This window comes from Homo sapiens, chromosome 5, assembly GCF_000001405.40.
Source record: "Homo sapiens chromosome 5, GRCh38.p14 Primary Assembly".
Taxonomy (NCBI): domain Eukaryota; kingdom Metazoa; phylum Chordata; class Mammalia; order Primates; family Hominidae; genus Homo; species Homo sapiens.
Genome location: NC_000005.10, coordinates 168,736,333 through 168,759,597, shown reverse-complemented (window position 1 = coordinate 168,759,597; position 23,265 = coordinate 168,736,333). Strand labels below are relative to the sequence as shown.

Below are 23,265 nucleotides of genomic sequence, written 5' to 3'. Positions count from 1 at the left end.
AAACCAGTGTCCTTTTGCGTTATATTCAGTGCCGTGGGTTTTGCATGTTTGTGGTTTTTGTTGGTGATTTTGCTGTTTAAAATGGCCCCCCAGACATACTGCCGAAGGGCTGTCTAGCCATCCTAAGTGTGCAAAGGCTGTGATGTGTCTTACAGAGGACATATGTGCGTGAGAGCAGTTTTATTACAGGCTTGAGTTATAGTGCTGCTGGCCATGAGTTCAACATTATGGATCAGCCATATGTATTACATAAGCTATCTTTAAACAGAAGCATACATATAACAAGGTTATACGTCGATAGGTTGATAAAAATGTGGAGACCAGAGGCTCGCAGGACCCTAATCTTGTATTTCCCTAAGAGCAATGCTTTGGTATTCACTAATGCAGTGTTCCCAGCAACTGTATACAACATAACTACTGTGAGTACTGGTTGAGTATCCCTTATCTGAAATGCATGGGATCAGGAGTGTTTCAGATTCCAGATTTTTTTGGATTTTGGAATGTTTACATGTACACAATGAGATGTCATGAGGCTGGGATGCAAGTCTAAACACGAAATTCACTTGTGTTTCATGTACACCATATACACAGCCTGAAGGTAGCTATGTGATATTTTTAATAATTTTATGCATGAAACAAAGTTCAAGTACATTGAACCTTCAGAAAGCAAAGGTGTCAGGTGTGGAATTTTCTACTTGTGGCATCATATCAGCACTCAGAAAGTTTCGGACATTCTGGTTAGGGATGCTTACTTATAATGAGAGTGGACTGTACCACCTCGTTTTTTTCTCATTACCCATGCTCCCACCCATCAGTTCCCTGTAGACAAATATGACAGAGGCCTTCTAGGCCCTGGGCAGCATCTGGATCTCACTGGTGCTACTCAGATCGCTTTCCTCCCTCCGTCCCTGCCTGCAGCCACCACCTTGGTCATGGCTCCAGCGAATGCTGTGTAACCGGGTGCAGTGGAGAGCACGTTGGGGGGCCAGCTGAGAGAAGGGCACACTTGGGTGAGGATCATGGCTGTCACTGGGGTCCAGTGCCCCACTAGCTTCAGGGTCCCAACACAAACATCACCCATCACCTACCAGGAATTATTCTTTTTATTTCAAACCAGAGAAATGTACTTTGTTTTTAACCTGAAGACAGAAACTTACAGGCCTGTGGGCGTGAGGCAGATATTAAGATGAATCAAGCTGGCCAAGCGCATATTTGTCTTCTGAACAGGATCTGCTAGTCTTTGCTTCTGCGAAGAAATACGTACTCTCCCATTTGAGGTGAAACTCAAGCACTTGGAATCTTTCATCCTCCCAGTTTTGATAGGAACATGAGTGTAGAGAATATTTCTGTATGCCCCAGAAAACAACAGCACAAACACATGATAAGTGTCAACCAACTCCCAGCATCAGCAACCAAGCAACAAAAGGGAGTGGTGAGGTCTCTGGAAAAATATGGGCCTAGATCTCATCAAAAGGGACAGATGTCACTCAGCTCATCCCAGTGCTTGCCATGTTGGAATAAAAGTGAGGGCTGCCAAATGTTTCCATTTCTCAAGAGCTGCCACAACTCCCGGTGTGGAAGGAAAATGGGCAGACAAGCCTATGTGAGTTCTGAGTTCAGCTCTGCCCTTCCCAGTTATGTGACACCAGGAATGTCCTTAGCCTTTCTGAGCCTTAGTTTCATCATTTACATAATAGAAATAAATCCACCTTCCTTATAAGTTATGATGTGGATCAGAAATATGAGGAAATAAAGATGAAAGACATGGCTGTGGTACTGGGGAGACAGGGTGTGGAAAGACAGGAGAGGGCATCTGAGTTGAGTGACCCAGAGTAGCTGGTTATATATTTAAAACAGGGGTTGGGTTGGGCACGGTGGCTCACGCCTGTAATCCCAGCACTTTGGGAGGCTGAGCCAGGCGGATCACAAGGTCAAGAGATCGAGACCATCCTGACTAACACGGTGAAACCCCGTCTCTACTAAAAATACAAAAAAAATTAGCCGGGCGCAATGGCAGGCGCCTGTAGTGCCAGCTACTCGGGGGGCTGAAGCAGGAGAATGGCGTGAACCTGGGAGGCGGAGCTTCCAGTGAGCCGAGATCCCACCACTGCACTCTAGCTTGGGGGACAGAGTGAGACTCCGTCTCAAAAAAACAAAAACAATAACAACAACAAAAATAGGGGTTGCACACCCAGACACTTTCAGGAGCCTGGGAGTAGCACAAATGTGGAACTTGGCTGCGTGCAAGGCCATAAAAATAATAATAGCTAGCAGTGAGCACAAATTAAACACTTTACCCTGCGCTAGACAGTACAGATATTAATGCACTTAACCCTCACCAAGAAACCCTCAGGGGCTCTGAACTAACCCAAAGATGGAGAGAAGCCCCCTGGGTGGCCCTGGTTTTACATTTTGTGGTTTCCTGGGATCTGGGGCAAGATACTGCTCTAAGAATGTGATCGGCTCTTACAAAACCTCCATGCACTTGTTTTGTTTCTGGAGTGTTTGCCCCAGGCTGCACTTTCTGTCCTTCAGCTACTGCTGCCTGTAGTTGCGAGCAGTGCTTTGATGGATGTAGAGACGGCAGCAGCCAGCTTTTCTGGAAAATTATATCCCCCTCTTTTTTACTCTCCTTCTGTTTTCCATTCTCCCAGCCTGAGGAAATCCAATTCACAAACCTTACAGTAATGTGATGTTAATTTTGCTCATTTAAAGAAACAGATGTCAGGAAATGGGAACCCTCCCACTTCATAGCTGCTTTAACTCATCTGCATTGCCCATCACTTGTATTTTAATCCCCACCCTCCCCAACAAAGAAGCTCAACTCTGGAGCAAAAGCCTTCTCTTCTGGCATTCGGGTGACTTATAGCTGCTGGAGAGCCTTTATCTCTCCTCCTGCATCTCATTTGGGGGTAATTGGCAGTCTCCTCAGGGCATTACCTTCATTCCTGGGTTATCCCAGACCAGGGCTACCAGGATTTATAAGAAAACCGGCCAAGTTTAAGGAGAACCAGGCAGGGAGTGGAAATCCAGTCTGCGAGTCTGCTGACTGTCTCAGACCTTGGGCGAGGGATGCTGGGAATGCTTACTCCTGTTTTCCTGGCAGGATGGGAAGGAGAGAAGGAGAACGAGGTCATGCCAAGGAGTAAGGAGGGAACCAAGGCACCGGCTGTTTCCTCCACACCTGCCCACAAGCGCAGGCATGGCCTCACCCTGGGGGCCTGGTCCCTCCTTGGGAAGAGGGCAGTCAGCCTGCATTGAGTCCCCAATTCTGTCACTTGCTCCAAGTCAGTCCCTAAGGGAGTTCTCGCCCCCTGGCATTGTTGTGGGTCAGCCCAGAGCTCAGACCAGGGACTTGGTATGGTCCTAGATCCCCTTCCAATGCTCTGTGACCTGGAGCAGTGCCCTCCTGCTCTGGGACTCAGTATCTTCAGCAGTAAAATGGTCCTGGTCTATCTCTGCGAGCCCGCCAATTCTGCCAGCTTTCGTGTGCTCTGTGAGTTCACGGGCTCCACCTCCACCTGCGATTTCCTTGTTTGCAGAAGATGGTTCCCCATGCAAGGCTCTGAATAGGCTGTCTGCTTGGGAGGCTGGACTCTCCCCTGAGCTAATATAAACACTGTCATCACCTTCAGTTCATCCATCTGGCCAGGGATGCTTTCCAGGGCCAGGCATTTTGATGGTCCACACAAGCCCCCCAGCAACCCTGCCAGGGAGAACTGCTAACTCGCAGTGCTAATGGCTCTGCAGCATCTGCTTGCTGTTCTGATCTCTCTTGAGGTCTGTGCAGGATGTCAGCATGCAGCCTCGGAGGGAAGGGCTGCTTTCAGACCTCAGGGGCAGACTCAGAAATGGCAGCACCAGCCAGGCATGGCGGCTCATGCCTGTAATCCCGGCACTTTGGGAGGCCAAGGTGGGTGAATCACCTGAGGTCTGGAGTTGGAGACCAGCCTGGCCAACATGGTGAAACCCTATCTCTACTAAAAATACAAAAAATTAGCAGGGCATGGTGGCAGGCACCTGTAATCCCAGCTACTCGGGAGGCTGAGGCAGGAGAATCACTTGAACCCTGGGGGCAGAGGCTGCAGTGAGCCAAGATTGCGCCATTGCTCTCTAGCCTGGGCAACAAGGAGAGAAATTCTGTCTCAAAAAGAAAGAAAGAAAGAAAGAAAGAAAGAAAGAAAGAAAGAAAGAAAGAAAGAAAGAAATGGCGGCACTGAGGGTTTGATAGGACCAAGCTCACTTTAAGCAAATACAATATCCAAAATCTTGAATTTTGTAAAGAAGTAATATCCACATAGTCAAAGGAATACTCACTTATGAAAGAAGAGGTTCAATGGAGTACATTTGATATGCCAGAAAACCTGGCTTCAAATCCCAGTTCTGTCAGCTGGGTGACTGCAAGCAAGTTAGTTAATCTCTGTGAACCTCAGTCCCATCATCCGTAAAATGAGACGATAATAATAAATGAGTCCGACAGCCATCGTTTTGAGGGTTTGATGTGGTTGTGTTGGTCAGATCCCTCATGAGGTGCCTAGCACATAAGAAGTGGTCAACAATAGTAACTGGAAAGCACCAATTTATTTGTATCAGGGATCCTTAACTGGTGAGAAAGCTTAGAAGTTCCACAAATGCCCTAGTCCCAAGGAGTGGGGAGCATGCTTTATATTTTTCTCCTGCCTTCCTCTTGAAAATCAGTGCTTAGTGAGAATCTCTAATGAAGACAGAAAATAAGTTTGAGAGTCACTATTTTAACTCTGTCAGTCCCCCAGAGCATTGAAAAGACAATTACACAGAAAAAAACTTCAAATCCCATCCAGCCTGTTTTTTTAAATTGATACATAACAATTATACATATTTATGGGACACGTGATATTTTGATACATGCATGCAATGTACAGTGATCAAACAGGATATTTAGGATATCCGTCACTTCTAACATCTATCATTTCTTTGTGTTGGAGGTATTTCAAATCTTTTCTTCTAGCTATTTTGAAATACATATTGTTGTTAACTATAGTCACCCTACTGTGACTGTCACCCTATCTAACACTAGAACTTATTCCTTTTAGCTCCCCCATTAACCAACCTCTCTTCATCTCCCTCAAACCTTCCCAGCCTCTGGTAACCATCCTTCTACTGTCTCCCTCCATGAGATCAACTTTTTTAGCTCCCACATATGAGTAGGAGCGTATGATATTTGCCTTGCTGTGCCTGGCTCATTTCACTTAACACAGTGACCTCCAGTGCCATTCATGTTGCTGCAAATGACAGGTTTTCATTCTTTTTATGGCCAAATAGTCTTCCATTGTGCATATATACACCACATTTTCTTGATCCATTCATCCACTGACCATACAGTCTGTTTCACAAAGGTAGCTTCACCTGTATAGGGCCAGGGTCCCTGCTCCCTGGGCCAGATGCTGAAGACCAAAGTTCAGGGAGCCCCAGACTGAGCTCCTTCCACCATCCAGTCCTCAGTCTCAGGGGCCCCAGAGAGTCCCCAGCAGCTGCAGGGCAAGTCATCCCCTCCCGGCATCAAGACCATCTGCTCCTTTTGATTCTCCCCTATTCTGTTTCTTCCTTCTAGAAATCTGAGTAACAATAAGATCAAGGAGGTGCGAGAGGGAGCTTTCGATGGAGCAGCCAGCGTGCAGGAGCTGATGCTGACAGGGAACCAGCTGGAGACCGTGCACGGGCGCGTGTTCCGTGGCCTCAGTGGCCTCAAAACCTTGTGAGTGCCTGGGGTGGGGCCTGGGCCAAGACCCAGAGGGAGACGGGAGGGCAGGGGAATTAGAGACAGACTACGAAGGCAAGTGGGACCCAGGCACTGTCTTGGCCTGCTGAATCCCTCTCTTCCTGGAGTCAGAGTCATCAGACATTCTGGAGCCTTGGATGGGAAAGAATTTAGCATGCTGAACACCTCCAGCATGCACACTCACACACACACACCACACACACACCCAACATAGTCACCCACTCTCGTGTATACACGTATATAGATTTATACCAGAAACTTGCTGAAGGAGGCACACAAACAGACATTTACCCACAAACATAAGCATAAGGACCTTTATAAAAATGATATATGCAGACACGTGCAACATGCACATAAACATATATACAAACAGGCACAGACACACAAGCACACACATACATACAAGCTGATGTCTACAACCACGTCTTGATTCTCTCTTCTCTTCCCAGAAATATGTGTGCACACCCTAGCAGCCACACAATATGCGTGTGTATACACACATATGCATGACATGTGCTTCCAAGAAAGCATGCACAAACAATAATGTACATACACATTTACACACAGCCCCAGTGGGGCTCCAGTCCCTGCTATCACAGGACAAACCTGATCAACATGGCTGGACTGAGCTTAGAATTGGCAAAAGCATCTCACCTATACACACACACACACCACCGTGGCACCATTTGGGACAGAAAAGATCATGCCTGTGCTCTCTCATCCCCACCCCTCTCCCTGTAGGATGCTGAGGAGTAACTTGATCGGCTGTGTGAGTAATGACACCTTTGCCGGCCTGAGTTCGGTGAGACTGCTGTCCCTCTATGACAATCGGATCACCACCATCACCCCTGGGGCCTTCACCACGCTTGTCTCCCTGTCCACCATGTAAGTTCTCCTGGGTCCACTGCCCACGGACTCTGGGATCCCACTCTGCAGCGCTCTCTCCTCCCAGCTCCCTGCTACCTCTAGCCAGGCTCATCTATCTGTCTGTCCACTTAAAAACTCGTCAGGCTTTCTGTATGTGCCAGGCAGGCATCGTCTAGGTGTTGAGGCTGCACACACCCGGCCCCTCCTTCCTGGAACTCACAGCATAGTGAATTGCCACAGAAAGCATGTCCACAGTGATTTGAAAACCCAAGCTGGAAGGCCAGGCATGGTGGCTCACGCCTGTAATCCTAACACTTTGGGAGGCTGAGGTGGGTGGATCACCTGAGGTGAGGAATTCGAAACCAGCCTGACCAACATGGTGAAACCCCTTCTCTACTAAAAATTCAAAAGTTAGCCAGTTATGGTGGTGAGTATCCGTAATCCCAGCTACCTGGGAGACTGAGGCAGGACAGTTGCTGGAACCCGGGAGGCGGAGGCTGCAGTGAGCTGAGATCATGCCACTGCATTCCAGCCTAGGCGACAGAGCAAGATTCCGTGTCAAAAAAAAAAAAAAAAAAAAAAAACCAGGGGCTTTGTTGAGAAACACTGGAGCTGTATTCTGGAAGGTAAGTGGGAGGTAGCTGTTGAAGAAAGTGGACAGTGCAGTTCCTTCAGAGGGAAGGGCATGTCCAAGGGCCCTGTGGTTGGTCGCAACAGAGCATATATGTGGGACTGAACATCTGTCAGCATGGTCACAGTGCTGAATGAGGGAGGGCATGACATAAGGCAAGGCTGAAGAGGAAGCCAGGGTCAGGCTGCAGGACTGCTGTGGGCCATCTCGTCTTTGTCCAGAGCACATTAGGAAGACTGGGACCTTTAAGTAGACCTTAAGTAAGACATCACCAGACAGGGGTTTTAAAAAGATGTCACTGGCAGCCAGGCTTGGTGGCTCACGCCTGTAATCCCAGCACTTTGGGAGGCCGAGGCAGGTGGATCACAAGGTCAAGAGATTGAGACCTTCCTGGCCAATGTGGTGAAACCCCATCTCTACTAAAAATGCAAAAATTGCCTGGGCGTGGTGGTGGTGCACACCTGTGGTCCCAGCTACTCAGGAGGCTGAGGCAGGAGAATCGCTTGAACCCGGGAGGTGGAGGTTGCAGTGACTCGAGATTGTGCCACTGCACTCCACTCCAGCCTGGCAACAGAGCGAGAGCGAGACTTCGTCTCAAAAAAAAAAAAAAAAAGATGTCACTGGCTGCTTTCAGTGGGTATCAGGACCAGAATTAGAACCCAGCTTTCTGGGCACCTAAAGGAGTGCTCCTGCCCGGGTAGTGCGCTGTCGTGGGAAGGGAGCCTCTGTGGAATAATGGGTAAGACTCTAGAGCCAAATTTCCTAGGTTCAGATCCTGGCTGTGCCTCTTGTTAGCTGTGTGACCTTGGGAAAGTGACTTCATCTCTGTGTGTTTCCATTTCCCTTCTGCATAATCTACCTCCTAGGATGGTTATGAGGATTGAATGTGGTGATGCTTGTAAAACACACAGCAAGGGCCTAGGTGTAGAAAGTGCTCAACACGTGTGTGTTTTACAGCTGCTCGTCGTATTTCCATGTGGCTCTGTTATCCTTAGTCGCTGGTTTATTGTCCCGTCTCTAACCTTCCCCAAAGACCCTTTAGAAGGCAGAAGCAAAGGCTGCTGCCACACCTCCTGTTGCTGCCCTATGCCTACTGCACTTGGAATCAAAGCCGAAGTTAGAGGAGGGCCTAAAGGCCGGCCCCACGTCATCTGGCCCCTCATGCCCTGCCTGTCCCCTCCCTCTCTCCATTCTAGCTCCGTGGGGCTCCTCGCCATTTTCCCATGATCCAAGCCCACTCCAACCTTGGAACTTGGCACTCCCTGGAGCACCCTCCCCCAGCCTCCCTCCCCCTAGCCTCTCTCCCTTCCACCTTTGCTCAAGGGTCACCTGCCTCACCCCGTTCTACCCCTCTGCCATAGCCCCAATCCCTCTAGCCCTGCCCCTTAATATTACAAAGCACTAACCATGTCCTAACATACTGTGTCATTCACTAACTTGCTGTTAATCATATATTATCTGCCCACCATCATATAAGATCCCGAAGGACAGGGATTTGTGGCTGTTTTGTTCACTGCTGCATCCTTAATGTTTAGATCTGTGCCAAGAGCACAAGCAGATGCCCGGCATATAATTGTTGAGTAAAGGAATGAATCGAATGAACGAGTGATGTCAACAGGAGAGGACAATGGGTTGGGAGCTAACATCAGTGAACTGGTCCATTTTAGTCCATATTTAGCCCCTCCTAGGTACCTCCACATTGGAAATCCAAAGACACCTAAGATGCCCAGAAGGGCAGAGTCCCAAAGCATTCAGGGAACCAGCTCTGACCCATGAAGTAACTTGCCCCGCTTCACACAGCTACTGAGTGTCAGAGCCTGGACTCCAACCCCGAAACAGCCACTCTCAAGCCCTTCATTGCTGTATCATCCTACAGCCACTCAAGGGCTGTCTGTCCCGCTTAAATAAGCTCCCCAAGCTTCACTTTCCTCATGTGAGAAAAGGAAGATAATGTTACCTCCTTCATAGGGTCGCTGTGACAGGAATGAATGAGACAATGGATTTATAAAGTGCGTGGCATGGTCCCAGTCCTGTAGTAAACACTCAGGAAGGGATAGCTGCCATCATCCCCTCATCTCTCCATCAGTCCCATTGTTTCAGTCCACAGATGCATATAAAGTGCCTGTGATGACATAACGCTAGTTTCTGGATATGCAGAGGCAAACAGACCCTACCCTCGTGTATGTAGAGTCCAAGGTGCAAGGCGAGCACAGAAACCAGTCACCGCACACTCCCATGGGTGCTATGGGGAGAATGAAAGGGAATGAGGGAAAAGATATGATAGGGCTGAAGTATCCCACTTGATATGGGGGACTCAGAGAAGGCTTCCTTGATGAAATGTCATTGAAGCCAAGGACTAAAGAATGAGAAGAAGCCAGCCAGGCAACCTGTAAAGATACGGGTTCCCAGCAAGGAGAGTAGCAAGTGTGAAGGCTCTCGGGGTGAATCTCTGCTAAGGACCCAAAGGCAGTTCACACAGCCAGGGCTTGGTACCCAAGGGAGGGCATGGCGAGACACCACAGCCACATCCATCAGAGGCGAGGGTCTGGAATGAGACCCTCACAGAGACTGCATCTGGGGAAGAGCCTACGTTTCCTTCCTGAGACCTCCTCCTTCCTGGCTAGGAGAGCTGGGCTCTGGGCAGCAGATCCCAGGGCCGCTCCCACAGTAGAAGGATGGAGGCTAAGCACCCTTCTCTCTTCCTAGAAACCTCCTGTCCAACCCCTTCAACTGCAACTGCCACCTGGCCTGGCTCGGCAAGTGGTTGAGGAAGAGGCGGATCGTCAGTGGGAACCCTAGGTGCCAGAAGCCATTTTTCCTCAAGGAGATTCCCATCCAGGATGTGGCCATCCAGGACTTCACCTGTGATGGTAAGAAGGCTGTGGGTCAAGGTCTGCGGGGAAGGCCCTGGGAAGGCAAGGAAGATGGCGAAGATGCACAATCAGATACTCCCTGAGATCCAATTCCACTTTGCTTTGGGCATGCAGCTGGAGCTCTGGAGAGCTCTGCAGATCTGCTACTAGCCCACATGGCTCCTTCATGCAAATTAAGAAAAGGTGCCCATTTCAGCAGTCATTTTACTTCCATCAGTTAGAAATCTGTCATAATATATTGATTTCATTAAGACAAGACACCTGTCCATTAAAACAAGATACTGCCATCTATGAGAACACTGTTGTACCAAATATACTCATCTATCATGTCCACAGTGAGATTGGTGCCCCTTAAATGATATGGCACCCTTGTGGAGTGCACAACCTATACAACTGTACATGGGAGCCCTGGCCTCAGTCTTCCTGTCAGCATCATGATGAGACTCAGTATGTACTCATGAGAAACAGACTTCAAGAAAAGTCTTGTCACTGGCTGGGGATATGGATATCTGAGGCTTTGGTTCTCAGGATCCCAGAGGGCATATTTATTTGCATAAATTCAAGCCAGCACAGTTCTTTACTTGATCAACTTTGGGTTATCTAGAGACAGATAATTAACTGAGATTAAGGCACAATGGAGGCTTGGGACATACTCAACACCCCGGAGGGACTGTGTAGTTGTGGGAGCAGAGAAAGAAAGGAGAAAGAGGAAGGGAAAAGACAAGGCTCTGCCCCCCTCCCCCTGACCACTCCTTCAATCAATTCGGCTTATTCCTGATATGGTTAACGGTGACCTCTTTCCTGTTACTCTTGCTGAGCCTCCTTGATGGTCTTCATCTTATGTCAAATGAGGTAAAAGGTAGGCGACACCCGCCAACCACGGATGAGACCAGCGGGTACCCTCTTCCTGGTTCTAGAACACAGCGGGGACAGGGGACAACTTGTCTTTGTGGAGAACACGCAGCCTTGCTCACTGGCTCCCCCTAGTGGGGCTTATCTCCCACAACCCTCACCCTCTCTGGGGCTCTCCACAGGCAACGAGGAGAGTAGCTGCCAGCTGAGCCCGCGCTGCCCGGAGCAGTGCACCTGTATGGAGACAGTGGTGCGATGCAGCAACAAGGGGCTCCGCGCCCTCCCCAGAGGCATGCCCAAGGATGTGACCGAGCTGTAAGTACCCCCAGCTGCCTCCAAGCACCCTGTCATCTCACCACCAGCAGCATCCTCCATACTTTACCCCAGAATCTCAAGCAAGGCAACATGGCGAAACTGCCGGGGGGAGACCCTACTTGAATGGATCCCAGCAAGATGGCAGTGGAGCCCTCACCAAGATGGCAGCCATGGGCTTTGACAAGGGCACAGGAAACATGGCTCCCCCAGTGCCTCTGCCTGGCAGAGGAGGAGTCTCTGACCCTGTAATTCCTAAAGATACCCTGAGTATAAGTGGGAGGGTTATTGCCTCATTTTCCGTATCACCCCTGAAACCTCTGCTCTGTACACCCTCTTCCTAAGACTCCTCAGCAGTCTCTCAGTCTGATCCCGGCAGCAGTGCAGGATAATTGTGAAAACATTGTCCAGCGGGCACCGTGGCTTACAAAGCACTTTTCTGAATAGGATCCTATTCCACGTTCAAACAGCCCTGTCAAGCATGCGGCCCCATTTTACAGATGAGGTCTTAGCTCTGAGTCCCATTCATTCTCAGAACAGGAGCTTTCTTATTCCACAACCCGAGCTCCTGCCACTGACTCCTCAGGTCCTGTTTCTGCACCAGAAACTCCCAGCTCAACGAAAAAGGTGTTAGCCTCTTCCTGTAGGGCTCTTAATATTATGGAGAAAATCCTATTTCTGCCCCCCAGGAAAGCACAGACAGAAGGACAAGGCACGGTCCCCCAGTGAGGGGGCCTCCCTGGAATGCACCAAGAGCACTGCAGCTAGGACCAGAGGAGCACCACACACTCACACAACCAACACACACCATGTGCACACTCGCATCCATCCACTCCTTCACTCATCCACTCAACGCATATTGACCAGGTTTCTCAGGTATGAAGTACTCTGCTCACATTGGAGAGACAATGGCGAGCAAAATGGGTGTGACCCCTACACTCACGGGGCTCGTGGTTTATTAAGGAAGGCAGACATTCACTCGATCATTGCAGATGCACATGCGAAGTGACAACTGTGAAAAATGCTACAAAAAGAGAGGTACAAGGTTGCTAGGACACGCAAAGTGAGAAGTGTGACAGAGACATGAAGCTCTGAGAAAGCTGCCCTGGTGAAATGATGCTAGAGCCGCAATCTGAGGGGTGAGGGGCAGGTCACTAGGAGGGAGGAGGCAGTGCTCTGGCTGAAGTTGCTGCATAAGCAAAGGCCCTGTATGGGAGCGGGCAGAGCCAGGGAGAGGCAACAGGAACAGCCTAAGTGCCTGAGCAGCAACACACCCACAAACCCACACCACACACCACCACACCACACACCACACATCCACACCACCACACACCACACACCACCACACCCACACCACCACACTCACACACCACACACCACCACACCCACACCACCACACTCACACACCACACACCACCACACACCGCCACACCCACACCACCACACTCACACACCACACACCACCACACCCACACCACCACACTCACACACCACACACCGCCACACCCACACCACCACACTCACACACCACACACCACCACACACCGCCACACCCACACCACCGCACACCACCACACACCGCCACACCCACACCACACACCACCACACCCACACCACCACACACCACCATACCACCACACTCACACACCACACACCCACACCACTACACACCACCACACCACCATACTACACACCACACCCACACCACCACACTCACACACCACACACCACCACACACCACCACACCCACACCACCGCACACCACCACACACCGCCACACCCACGCCACCACACTCACACACCACACACCACCACACACCACCACACCCACACCACCGCACACCACCACACACTGCCACACCCACACCACCACACACCACCACACTCACACACTACACACCACCAGACACCACACACCCACACCACCACACTCACACACCACACACCACCACACACCCACACCACCACACTCACACACCACATACCACCACACCCACACCACCACACCCACATACCACCACACCACACATCACCACACCCACACACATCTGATGCTTGACTTTGACATCTCTTTTGCCAGGCCCCATGCACATCCCCTTTTCTGGGCCAGGTTAGCACGTACAGGCATACCTTGGAGATATTGTGGGTTCAGTTCCAGACCACCATAAAGCACAAACTGCAATGAAGCAAGTCGCACAAATGTTTTGGTTTCCCAGTGCATATCGAAGTTATGTTTATACTATACCGTAGTCTATTAAGTGTGCAATCTCATTGTGTTGGAAAAAAACCAATGTACCAATGTACATACCTTAATTCAAAAATGCTTTATTGCTAAAAAATGCTAATGATCCCCTAAGCCTCCAGCGCGTTATAATCTTTTTCCTAGTCGGGGGTCTTGTCTTGATGTTGATGGCTGCTATCTGATCAGGGTGGTGGTGGCCAACATTGGGTGGCTATGGCAATTTCTTAAAATAAGACAGTAGTGAGGTTTGTCACATCAATGGAGTCTTCTTCATGAAAGATTTCTCTGCAGTACACAATGCTGTTTAACATCATTTTCCCATAGTAGAAGTTCTTTTAAAATTGGAGTCAAGGTCAGGTGCCGTGGCTCACGCCTGTAATCCCAGCACTTTGGGAGGCCAAGGCAGGTGGATCACTTGAGGTCAGAAGTTCAAGACCAGCCTGGCCAACATGGTGAAACCCCATCTCTACTGAAAATACAAAAATTAGTAGGGCATGGTGGCATACGCCTGTGATTCCAGCTACTGGGGAGGCTGAGGTATGAGAATGGCTTGAACCTGGGAGGCAGAAGTTGCAGTGAGCCAAGATCGTGCCACTGCACTCCAGCTTGGGCAATAAAGTGAGACTCTGTCTCAAAAAAAAAAAAAATTGGAGTCAGTCCTCTCAAATCCTGCTACTACTTTATCAACTGAGGTTATATAATATTCTAAATCCTTTGTTGTCATTTCAACAACGTTCACAGCATCTTCACCAAAAGTAGATTCCATTTCAAGAAACCAATTTCTTTCCTCATCTATAAGAAGCAACTCCTTATCTGCTCAAGTTTTAGCCTGAGATTGCAGCAATTCAGTCACATCTTCAGGCTCCACTTCTAATTCTAGTTCTCACTATTTTCACCATATCTGCAGCTACTTCCTCCACTGAAGTCTTGAACCCCTCAAGGTCATCCATATGGTTGGAGTCAACTTCTTCCAAACTCCTATTAATGTTGCTATTTTGACCTCCTACCATGAATCACAAATGTTCAAATGGCATCTAGAACAGTGAATCCTTTCCAAAAGCTTTTCAGTTTACTTTGCCCAAATCCATCAGAGGAATCACCATCTATGGCAGTTATGGCCTTACAAAATATATTTCTTAAATAATAAGACTTGAAAGTTGAAATTACTCCTTGATCCATGGGCTGCAGAATGGATGTTATGTTAGCAGACATGAAAACAACATTAATCTGTGTGTACATCTCCATGAGAGCTCTTAGATGACCAGGTACATTGTCAGTGAGCAGTAATATTTTGAAAGAAATCTTTATGTTTGTGCAGCAGGTCTCAACGATGGGCTTAAAATATTCAGCAAAATATGCCATAAACAGACATGCCATCATCCAGTCTTTGTTGCTATATTTCTACAGCACAGGCAGAGTAGATTTAGCATAATAAAAGCCCTAGGATTTTCAGAACGGTAAATGAGTATTGGCTTCAACTTCAAGTCACCATCAGCAGTGGCCCCTAACAAGAAAGTCAGCCTGCCCTTTGAAGCTTTGAAACCAGGCATTGACTTCTCCTCTCTATCTGTGAAAGTCTTAGATGGCTACTTCTTTTAATAAAAGGCTATTTTGTCTCCACGGAAGATCTGTTGTTTAATGTGGCCACCTTCATCAATTATCTTAGCTAGATCATCTGGATAACTTGCTACAGCTTCTCCGTCAGCACTTGCTGCTTTACTTTACACTTTCCTGTTATGAAGATAGCTTCTTTTGTTTTGTTTCGTTTTGTTTTGAGATGGAGTCTCGCTCTTTCACCCAGGCTGGAGTGCCGTGGCGCAATCTCGGCTCACTGCAAGCTCCACCTCCTGGGTTAATGCCATTCTCCTGCCTCAGCCTCCCCCTTAGCTGGGACTACAGGAGCCCGCCACCACGCCCGGCTAATTTTTTGTATTTTTAGTGGAGACAGGGTTACACCATGTTAGCCAGGATGGTCTCGATCTCCTGACCTTATGATCCACCCGCCCCGGATTCCCAGAGTGCTGGGATTACATGTGTGAGCCGCTGCGCCCAGCCGGCTTCTTTTCTTAAACCTCATGAACCAACTATTGCTAGCTTCAAACTTTTCTTCTGCAGTTTTCTCACCTCTGTCAGCCTTCACGGAATTAAGGAGAGTTAGGGCCTTGCTCTGGATTAGGCTTTGGCTTGAGGGAATGTTTAGCTGGTTTGATTTTTCTATCCAGACCGCTAAAAGTTTTTGCATGTCAGCAATAAGTCTTTCTCATGATTCATGTGTATATTGGACTAGCACTTTTAATTTTCTTCAAGAACTTTTTATTTGCGTTCACAATTTGGCTATTTGGTCCAAGAGGCCTAGCTTTGATCCGTCTTCGTTTTTGATATGTCTTCCTCACTAAACTTCATCATTTCTATCTTTTGATTTAAAGTGAGAGATGTGTGATTCTTAGAGGCCGTTGTAGGGTTATTAGTTGGCCCAATTTCAATATTGTACTTTGTCTCCGGAAATAGGGAGGTCCGAGGAGAGGGAGACAGGGAACAGCTAGTTGGTAAAGCAGTCAGAGCACACACAACATTTATCAATTAAATTCATCATCTTTGATGGGCATGGTTCGTGGTGCCTCAAAACAATTACAATAGAGACATCAAAGATCACTGATCACAGATCACCATAAAAGTATTATAATAATGAAAAAGTTTTAAATATTGTGAGAATTACCAAAATGTAACACAGAGACATGAAGTCAGATATGCTGTTGGAAAAATGGCACTAATAGACTTGCTTGTGGCGGGGTTGCCATAAACCTTCAATTTTTAAAAAACGCAATATCTACAAAGTGCAATAAAGCAAAGTGCAATAAAACAAGGTACGCAGTACCCTCAGATGTAAGTGACAGAACGCGACCCAGACTCCTCCAGAGTTGCTTTGATCTGCCCTTCTAATAATGCTTTTGGGGACAGAACCTGAACATGCCAGTTTCTTAGACTAGCACATGGCGTGAACCTCCAGGGTTCATGCCATTTTCCTGGCTTAGCCTCTCCGGTAGCTGGGACTACAGGCGCATGCCACCACGCTCAGCTAATTTTTGTATTTTTTTTTTAGTAGAGATGGTGTTTCACCCTGTTGGCCAGGATAGTCTCGATCTCTTGACCTTGGGATCTGCCCACCTCAGCCTCCCAAAGTGCTGGGATAACAGACACATTCTGACAGTATCATTGCAGTACCTGCATCCAGCCCTAGAGCCCGGTATCTTCCAGTGCCTTCTTCAGTTATCTGAGTTGATAAATTCTCTTTATGCTTAAGGTGGTTTGAACTGATTTTCTTCCTCTTTGCCCAGGAGGAAAGCTAATATACCACTTCATAAGCTAGCTGTAAGCATTAAAAGACCAGATGCCAGTGGTTCAGAAGCACTCAGTCACATTAGCTATGATGATTGTTATCACTGTCATGACTCCTCCTCTATGTTTTTGAGTGGATTTTGGGGCCAGTCCCCTGGGAGTTACCCACATAGAGTAGAAGCCTGAAAGTGTGCAGCTGGTATGTCTCAAAGGCCGTGGTGAGTCCTGTGACCTGATTCCAGGACTGCAGAGGAGACATTGCATCTTGGCAGAGCGGTCAGCACCTGTCCCCTTTCTCTCTGCATCTTCCATTTCACCCCACTCCTCAATTCCCATCAGAGGCCTCTCTGGGTGAGGAAGAAAATGCCTCATTTTTACATAGGCCAGCTCCCTCCAGTCTGAAATGGGTGCAGATAAAAACATGCTAGCCTGCGATGGGGAAGCAGGTAGAATGTGGTAGAAAGAGCACTGGGCTAGGAGCCCAGAGGTGAGTCCCAGCCTTGGTTCTGCCTGTGCCTTGGGGCTACTCAGCAGCATCTCTTCCCACTCCTGCCCCCAGAAGCCACATTGCAGCCACACCTGTAGCTTCTTGTGATTCCCCCAGTGCATATGCCTTTCCTGACTTCAGGGCCTCTGTCCAGGGCATTTATATTCTCCCGGCCTAGAATGTTCTTCACTCCCATCCCTACTTAGGTAACCCCCTCTGGTTTCTCAGTCTCAGTCCTGGAAGCACAAGTTAAGAGGAGTGATTCTGAAAACAAATAGTCTTGGGTTTAAATTCCAACTTTACTACCTACTGATTGCATCACTTTGGGCAAGTTACTTAATCTCATTCAACCTCTATTTACTGATCTGTGAAATGGGGATAACAGCGGTATATCCTTCACAAGGCAGAGGGTGACTAAGATAACATAACTAAAGCACTTAGCCCTTTGTGCAGCACATAGTCACGGTTTGATGAATGTCAGTGCTGATTATTAACCTTCCTTTCAGAAAGCCTTTTGGGTGGCTAAGACTGGGTTAGGTGCCTCTCACTTGTATCCCCATGGCTCTTCTCTCAGGTATCGCCTTGTGTTGTAGTTGCTTATTTACTTATTTCCCCTTCTAGACCAAGAGCTCCCTGAGAGCAGCAATTGTGTCTCATTCACTGTTTGTTTTCTTTCCCCCTCCAGAGTTAAGCACAGCAACTAACCCGTAGCAGGCATTCCTCTCTGAATCTGTCTTGTCTTCTTTTTTTTTTTTTTTTTTGAGACCGAGTCTTGCTCTGTCGCCCAGGCTGGAGTGCTGGAATGCAGTGGTGTGATCTCGGCTTACTGCAAGCTCTGCCTCCCGGGTTCACACCATTTTCCTGCCTCAGCCTCCCGAGTAGCTGGGACTACAGGTGCCCGCCACCATGCCCAGCTAATTTTTTGTATTTTTTAGTAGAGACGGGGTTTCACCATGTTAGCCAGGATGGTCTCAATCTCCTGACCTCGTGATCCGCCCGCCTCGGCCTCCCAAAGTGCTGGGATTACAGGCATGAGCCTCCGTGCCTGGAGGCACATGGATTCTTGAGTGTGTGTTGTGGCTCCAGGCATTTCCCAATGCTCAGAAAAACTGAAACTAGGGCTGCCAGCCCAGGGGAAGGAAGGGAGGTCTTGACAGTTGCTAAAAAGTTCATGTCCACCGTGAGTTTGAGCTGGGGTCATGCCCTGGAAGTTCTGTGTACAAAAATGCCCCCACGTGCAGTGAGCTTCCTGCCCTTCCCTTGGACCGGGCTGTGCCATGGGACGGGGCTGCAGAGAATGACCCAGTTATACTCTCCTTCCTGGGCCAATTGAGTGCCAAGTGACACATGTCAAAGGACAGAAATGCCATGACGATAGCCCGTGAATGCTTTTCCCCAAAGCTCATGGAACGAAAACTGAAATAACAAAGATAATTGGCTGCAATTATAAAGTAAACTTCAGCACTTTGGGAGGAGACCTGATTTTCTGATTTGGAAATGGTATCACTTCCCTTGGCCAGGCATGGCTTCCAAAGTGCACCGAGGAAGGCAGCCCTCACTTCTTTCCCCAAACCGTCTTCCTGGGGTGGAGGGTTGGGGGTAAGCAGGAGAATGAGTGTCAAAGAAAGTGAAAGCTGGCAGACCTGGAGAATTATGGCTGGGAGCCTCTGGTTCAGAGACATTGGCTGAGTCCAGATCCAGGGTTTCCAATGCAAGCTTTTCAGCTCCCTTGGGTCTCATTAGTTATCTCAGGCAGAGCTGCCAGCTTACAAAACAAAATTAAGTTTAATTCACCAAGAAAAAACAAAAACAAAGTTGCCCAGCATTTCTCTAAAGGGCAGAGTGTGAGAGGCTGTTGCAAGCATGCAAGACCCCAGCAATGCCATCTGAGCAGGAGGTGATTTTTTTCTCCAGTCAGCTCTCTATTAACCCTCACTGGCCCTTCTCTCACAGTCTCCTTTCAGTTCTACCCTGGGTGAGTCAAGCCAAACTGAGCCTCATTCTCACATTCAGTCTTGCAAGTGCTCTTTGAAGTAGGGCTACAGTACCAGTTGCCCTCTTTGTCTGACCCCAAATCCTGTGCTCATGCCCATTCCACCAGAGGCTCTTAAATGTTTAGGTCTCAGGACTCCTTTATGCTTTTCAGAAGCATCCAGGACTCCAAGAACCTGTGTTTATGTGGGTTATAGCTATTGATATTGATCATATTACTAACACTGAGAAAATGTTAAAATATGCATTAATTCCATTTAAAAGTAACAATTATATACCCATGACATGTTTATATAAAAAGCACATTTTTAAGACAAACCAAAAGAAATGCAGGTGAGAAGAGTTTCATTGTTTTATATTTTTGCAAATCTTTTTAATATCTAGCTTCCTAGAAGACAGCTCAATTTTCATATCTGCTTCACCATTCACTTTGTTGTGGTATGCTTTTTGGATGAAGGATAAGAAATTTGGCTTCACACAGAAATGTATTTGAAAAGGGAGGAGCCGGGTGCGGTGGCTCACGCCTGTAATCCCAGCACTTTGGGAGGCCGAGGTGGGTGGATCAGCTGAGGTCGAGACCAGCCTGACCAAAATGGAGAAACCCCGTCCCTACTAAAAATACAAAATTTGCCAGACGTGGTTGTGGGCGCCTGTAATCCCAGCTACTTGGGAGGGTGAGGCAGGAGAATCACTTGAAGCTGGGAGGGTGAGGCAGGAGAATCACTTGAAGCTGGGAGGCAGAGGTTGTGGTGAGCTGAGATTGCGCCGTTGCACTCCAGCCTGGGTGACAGAGTGAGACTCTATCTCAAAAAAAAAAAAAAGAATAAAAAGAAAGAAAAAGCGAGGAATACTTTAATAGTCTTTTCAGGTAATTATGGGTGTTCTTCTTTGATTAAGACCAAAGCTCAACAAGTGGCATTTTCTTAAAGGCTAGTTGTAGTGTGGAACTGCACTTGTACCAGTGAACCTTTGGTCCTCTGTTACATAACTCTACCGATCTGTCTTACGCTTTGAATGGAACTTTCCCCATGCACGATCTTGTAATATCATGTGTTGGTCAATGGAAAAATATCGGTTCACTGAGTTATGCAGATCTTCCAAATGCTAACACATTTCATTATACAATATATTTTTTAAATAATGTCCTTTGATATCACCGCTGATCTCATCAGAAAAGTCTTTAAGTGAGGGAAAGTTGTTAAGCTCAATGTGGCAGTGAAAAGTTTTCCAAAATTTTAATTTTTACTTGGAAGCACGAATTTATCATTGGCAACAAATACTGTGAGCTGCTTTTTTTTTTTTTTTTTTTTGAGATGGAGTCTTGCTCTTTCACCCAGGCCAGACTGCAGTGGCGCCATCTCGGCTCACTGCAAGCCCCGCCTCCTGGGTTCACGCCATTCTCCTGCCTCAACCTCCCCAGCAGCTGGGACTACAGGCGCCCGCCACCGCGCCCGGCTAATTTTTTGTATTTTTAGTAGAGACGGGGTTTCACCGTATTAGCCAGGATGGTCTCGATCTCCTGACCTTGTGATCCACCTGCCTCGGCCTCCCAAAGTGCTGGGATTACAGGCATGAGCCACCGTGCCCAGCCTGTGAGTTGCTTTTTTTAAAGTGATGGGCTTACTTTGTTCATTTTCAAGAAATTATCTACTAAATAGCCATGTCTGAATAATGAGTTTGCCAGTCTTTCTTTTAGGTAAAAACAGTGTTCCATGAAAAAATGTAAAAGCCAGCTAGTTCAGCTTGCAACTCAATTACACAGGTACTTTTCTCTAGACAACCAACATGCTGTGTGTGTACATCTCCCATTTTGTCATACGGGACATTAAAGGAATGTGTGCTCAAGAGTTGAATGTTAATACAAACAATAATTCTTGGTACTTCATCAAGGGCATTCCTGGTTTTGGTAAAACCTGCAAGTGCACAGAGGTGAAGAATACAGTGACCACCAGTTTCATTTGGTAGCGATGTCCTGATTCATGCTGAGGTGCCAGCAGTTTTACCCTCCACTAATTTTGTACCATCAGTGCAAATGTCAACACAGGGCAAAAGGAAAATAACATTTTAACCTTATTGTAAATATAGTTTTGGCCTCATAGACCCCTGAAAAAGCCTCAGGGACCCCCGGGGTCTATGGATGACACTTTGAGAACCACTCTGGTCATTACATATTGGTGGGCAATGGATAGAGAGAGATAACTGCTCTAAGTCAGCACGAAGTTCCTAATTTAAAAGGCAAGCTTACAGAATCTTATGGAAAGCAGGACAGAAGCAAATACAGGACATCTCAGCCCTCAAAGTCACCAGAATACTCTCTGTGAAGGTAGGGCCTCACTGCCTTCAGAAAGTACAATTATTGCCATGCAACTGTCCTTTTAAATTCATGCTTACCTCACTATTTTAGAACTGAAACCTAAAAATCTGCTTGCTTCCATTTATGGAAATGTTTACAAACATCAGGTTTCCTGGTTCTGGAAACAAACTCTGCAAAGCCTACATCTTCATAACGGTTAGAGAAGAAATGCAGAATCCAGTGCTGGTGAACAGCTTTCCCCCATATCTACCCCTGGTTAATATCCATGATGTTTAGACATATATTTTTGGTCTAAGGACAATGAGCATGGATTTGTTGTCCTATAACTTGATATCCCAAGGAAAAGAGGGGGGAAGGATGACATAGCTCCAGGCACAACTATTGGAAGAAAGGATTTGTATTAGGATGCGGGGTCTGAGAACACTGTGGGAAGCAGGCTGGCAGTGTGCATATGCATGTGCATGTGTGTGTGTGTGTGCACAGCACTGACAGGAGACAGGAAAAGGATGGGGCTCAACCAGGAGGTAGGAGGGCACAGGGCTGAGATGCAACTCTCTGAGAGTGAGTGTGGCAAGAGGTGATGACAAGAATGCACTGGTTGAAGAAGCAAGAAGGACCTGGCCTGGCACTGTGTGGGTTCCAAGGAGTTAGGGGATGGAGGTCTGGGGTCCAGAAAGCTCAGTGGCACTTGGTCCTCATCCATAGTTTTATTGGGGGAGACATGCAGGCAGGAGAAGGGGGAGTGCGACGCAGCAGATGACAAGCACAAGGGAGTGGCTCAGGCAATATGTGCTCTGGGAAGAGAGGAATCCAGGAAATTCTGCCCACCTGGCCTTTAAGAAAGCAAGCAAGAATGTCCTGCCTATGCTACAAACCACCACAGCCACCATTTCTAGAGCATTTACTGTGTACCAAGTGCTGTGCTGGGTTTTCTTAATAGGTAATCTCATTTCACCCTGCTAACAACTCTTCAAGGCAAGTGTCATTATTCCCATTTTGCAGGTGAGATAACCGGAGCTACTGAAGGTTGAATAATTTTTGACGATCACACTGCCAATAAGCAGCAGACTATAGACTCAAGCCCAGGTCCATCTGACCCCAAGTCCTCCCTGTGGCAGAAACCCAGGTCCCTATGTGTTCTGCCCAGTGGCCTGGCTTGCTGGGGGCTTACATGGGTCCTCTTGAAAACTGACATCTGCATTGCAGCAGGGAGGAGGCAAGCCCAGGCACTCTGCATTGCAGCAGGGAGGAGGCAAGCCCAGGCACTCTGCATTGCAGCAGGGAGGAGGCAAGCCCAGGCAGCCTGCCATGAGGCTATAGGTACCTGTCAGTGGTTCTGGCTATGTCCATCCTGACAGCTGGGCCTTCTCTAGCAAGGCAAGCTGCTGCCCGAGAAGAGCCTGCTGCTTTTCATATCCCCCATGCTCCCCAGAGCACTTAATAGAACAACTGCCCAGCACTGACTACATCCTTGACATTCTCTGGCCCAGGGAGAGAGACTGAAATGTGCCTCCAGCCAGCTGGAGGGGTTGATCACATCTTTGGAGAGTGGACCAGCTCTGGGCACAGCAGCACTTATGAGTCCTGGCACAGGCTCTGGC

At 47.9% G+C, this 23,265-nt stretch overlaps 1 protein-coding gene across 3 annotated transcripts in view, besides 5 other annotated features; it reads left to right on the top strand.

Annotated features, from left to right (window-relative positions):
- Positions 1-23,265, top strand: part of SLIT3 (slit guidance ligand 3) — a 639,400-nt gene that overhangs the window by 541,542 nt on the left and 74,593 nt on the right. For all 3 annotated transcript variants that reach the window (NM_003062.4, NM_001271946.2, XM_017009779.1), the window contains exons 17-20: positions 5,591-5,734; positions 6,500-6,643; positions 9,963-10,126; positions 11,164-11,296. In NM_003062.4, the coding sequence (NP_003053.2) occupies positions 5,591-5,734; positions 6,500-6,643; positions 9,963-10,126; positions 11,164-11,296 (585 nt within the window). The remainder of the gene's footprint in view (positions 1-5,590; positions 5,735-6,499; positions 6,644-9,962; positions 10,127-11,163; positions 11,297-23,265) is intronic.
- Positions 3,528-4,355: an enhancer, noted in NCBI's record as "H3K4me1 hESC enhancer chr5:168182248-168183075 (GRCh37/hg19 assembly coordinates)". NCBI's record gives its function as "activates a minimal SCP1, AML or CMV promoter by ChIP-STARR-seq in naive and primed H9 embryonic stem cells {active_cell/tissue: H9 hESC(naive and primed)}" and the evidence as "EXISTENCE:reporter gene assay evidence [ECO:0000049][PMID:30033119]".
- Positions 5,191-5,690: an enhancer, noted in NCBI's record as "H3K4me1 hESC enhancer chr5:168180913-168181412 (GRCh37/hg19 assembly coordinates)". NCBI's record gives its function as "activates a minimal SCP1, AML or CMV promoter by ChIP-STARR-seq in naive H9 embryonic stem cells {active_cell/tissue: H9 hESC(naive)}" and the evidence as "EXISTENCE:reporter gene assay evidence [ECO:0000049][PMID:30033119]".
- Positions 5,691-6,192: an enhancer, noted in NCBI's record as "H3K4me1 hESC enhancer chr5:168180411-168180912 (GRCh37/hg19 assembly coordinates)". NCBI's record gives its function as "activates a minimal SCP1, AML or CMV promoter by ChIP-STARR-seq in naive H9 embryonic stem cells {active_cell/tissue: H9 hESC(naive)}" and the evidence as "EXISTENCE:reporter gene assay evidence [ECO:0000049][PMID:30033119]".
- Positions 12,453-13,024: an enhancer, noted in NCBI's record as "H3K27ac-H3K4me1 hESC enhancer chr5:168173579-168174150 (GRCh37/hg19 assembly coordinates)". NCBI's record gives its function as "activates a minimal SCP1, AML or CMV promoter by ChIP-STARR-seq in naive H9 embryonic stem cells {active_cell/tissue: H9 hESC(naive)}" and the evidence as "EXISTENCE:reporter gene assay evidence [ECO:0000049][PMID:30033119]".
- Positions 13,025-13,597: an enhancer, noted in NCBI's record as "H3K27ac-H3K4me1 hESC enhancer chr5:168173006-168173578 (GRCh37/hg19 assembly coordinates)". NCBI's record gives its function as "activates a minimal SCP1, AML or CMV promoter by ChIP-STARR-seq in naive H9 embryonic stem cells {active_cell/tissue: H9 hESC(naive)}" and the evidence as "EXISTENCE:reporter gene assay evidence [ECO:0000049][PMID:30033119]".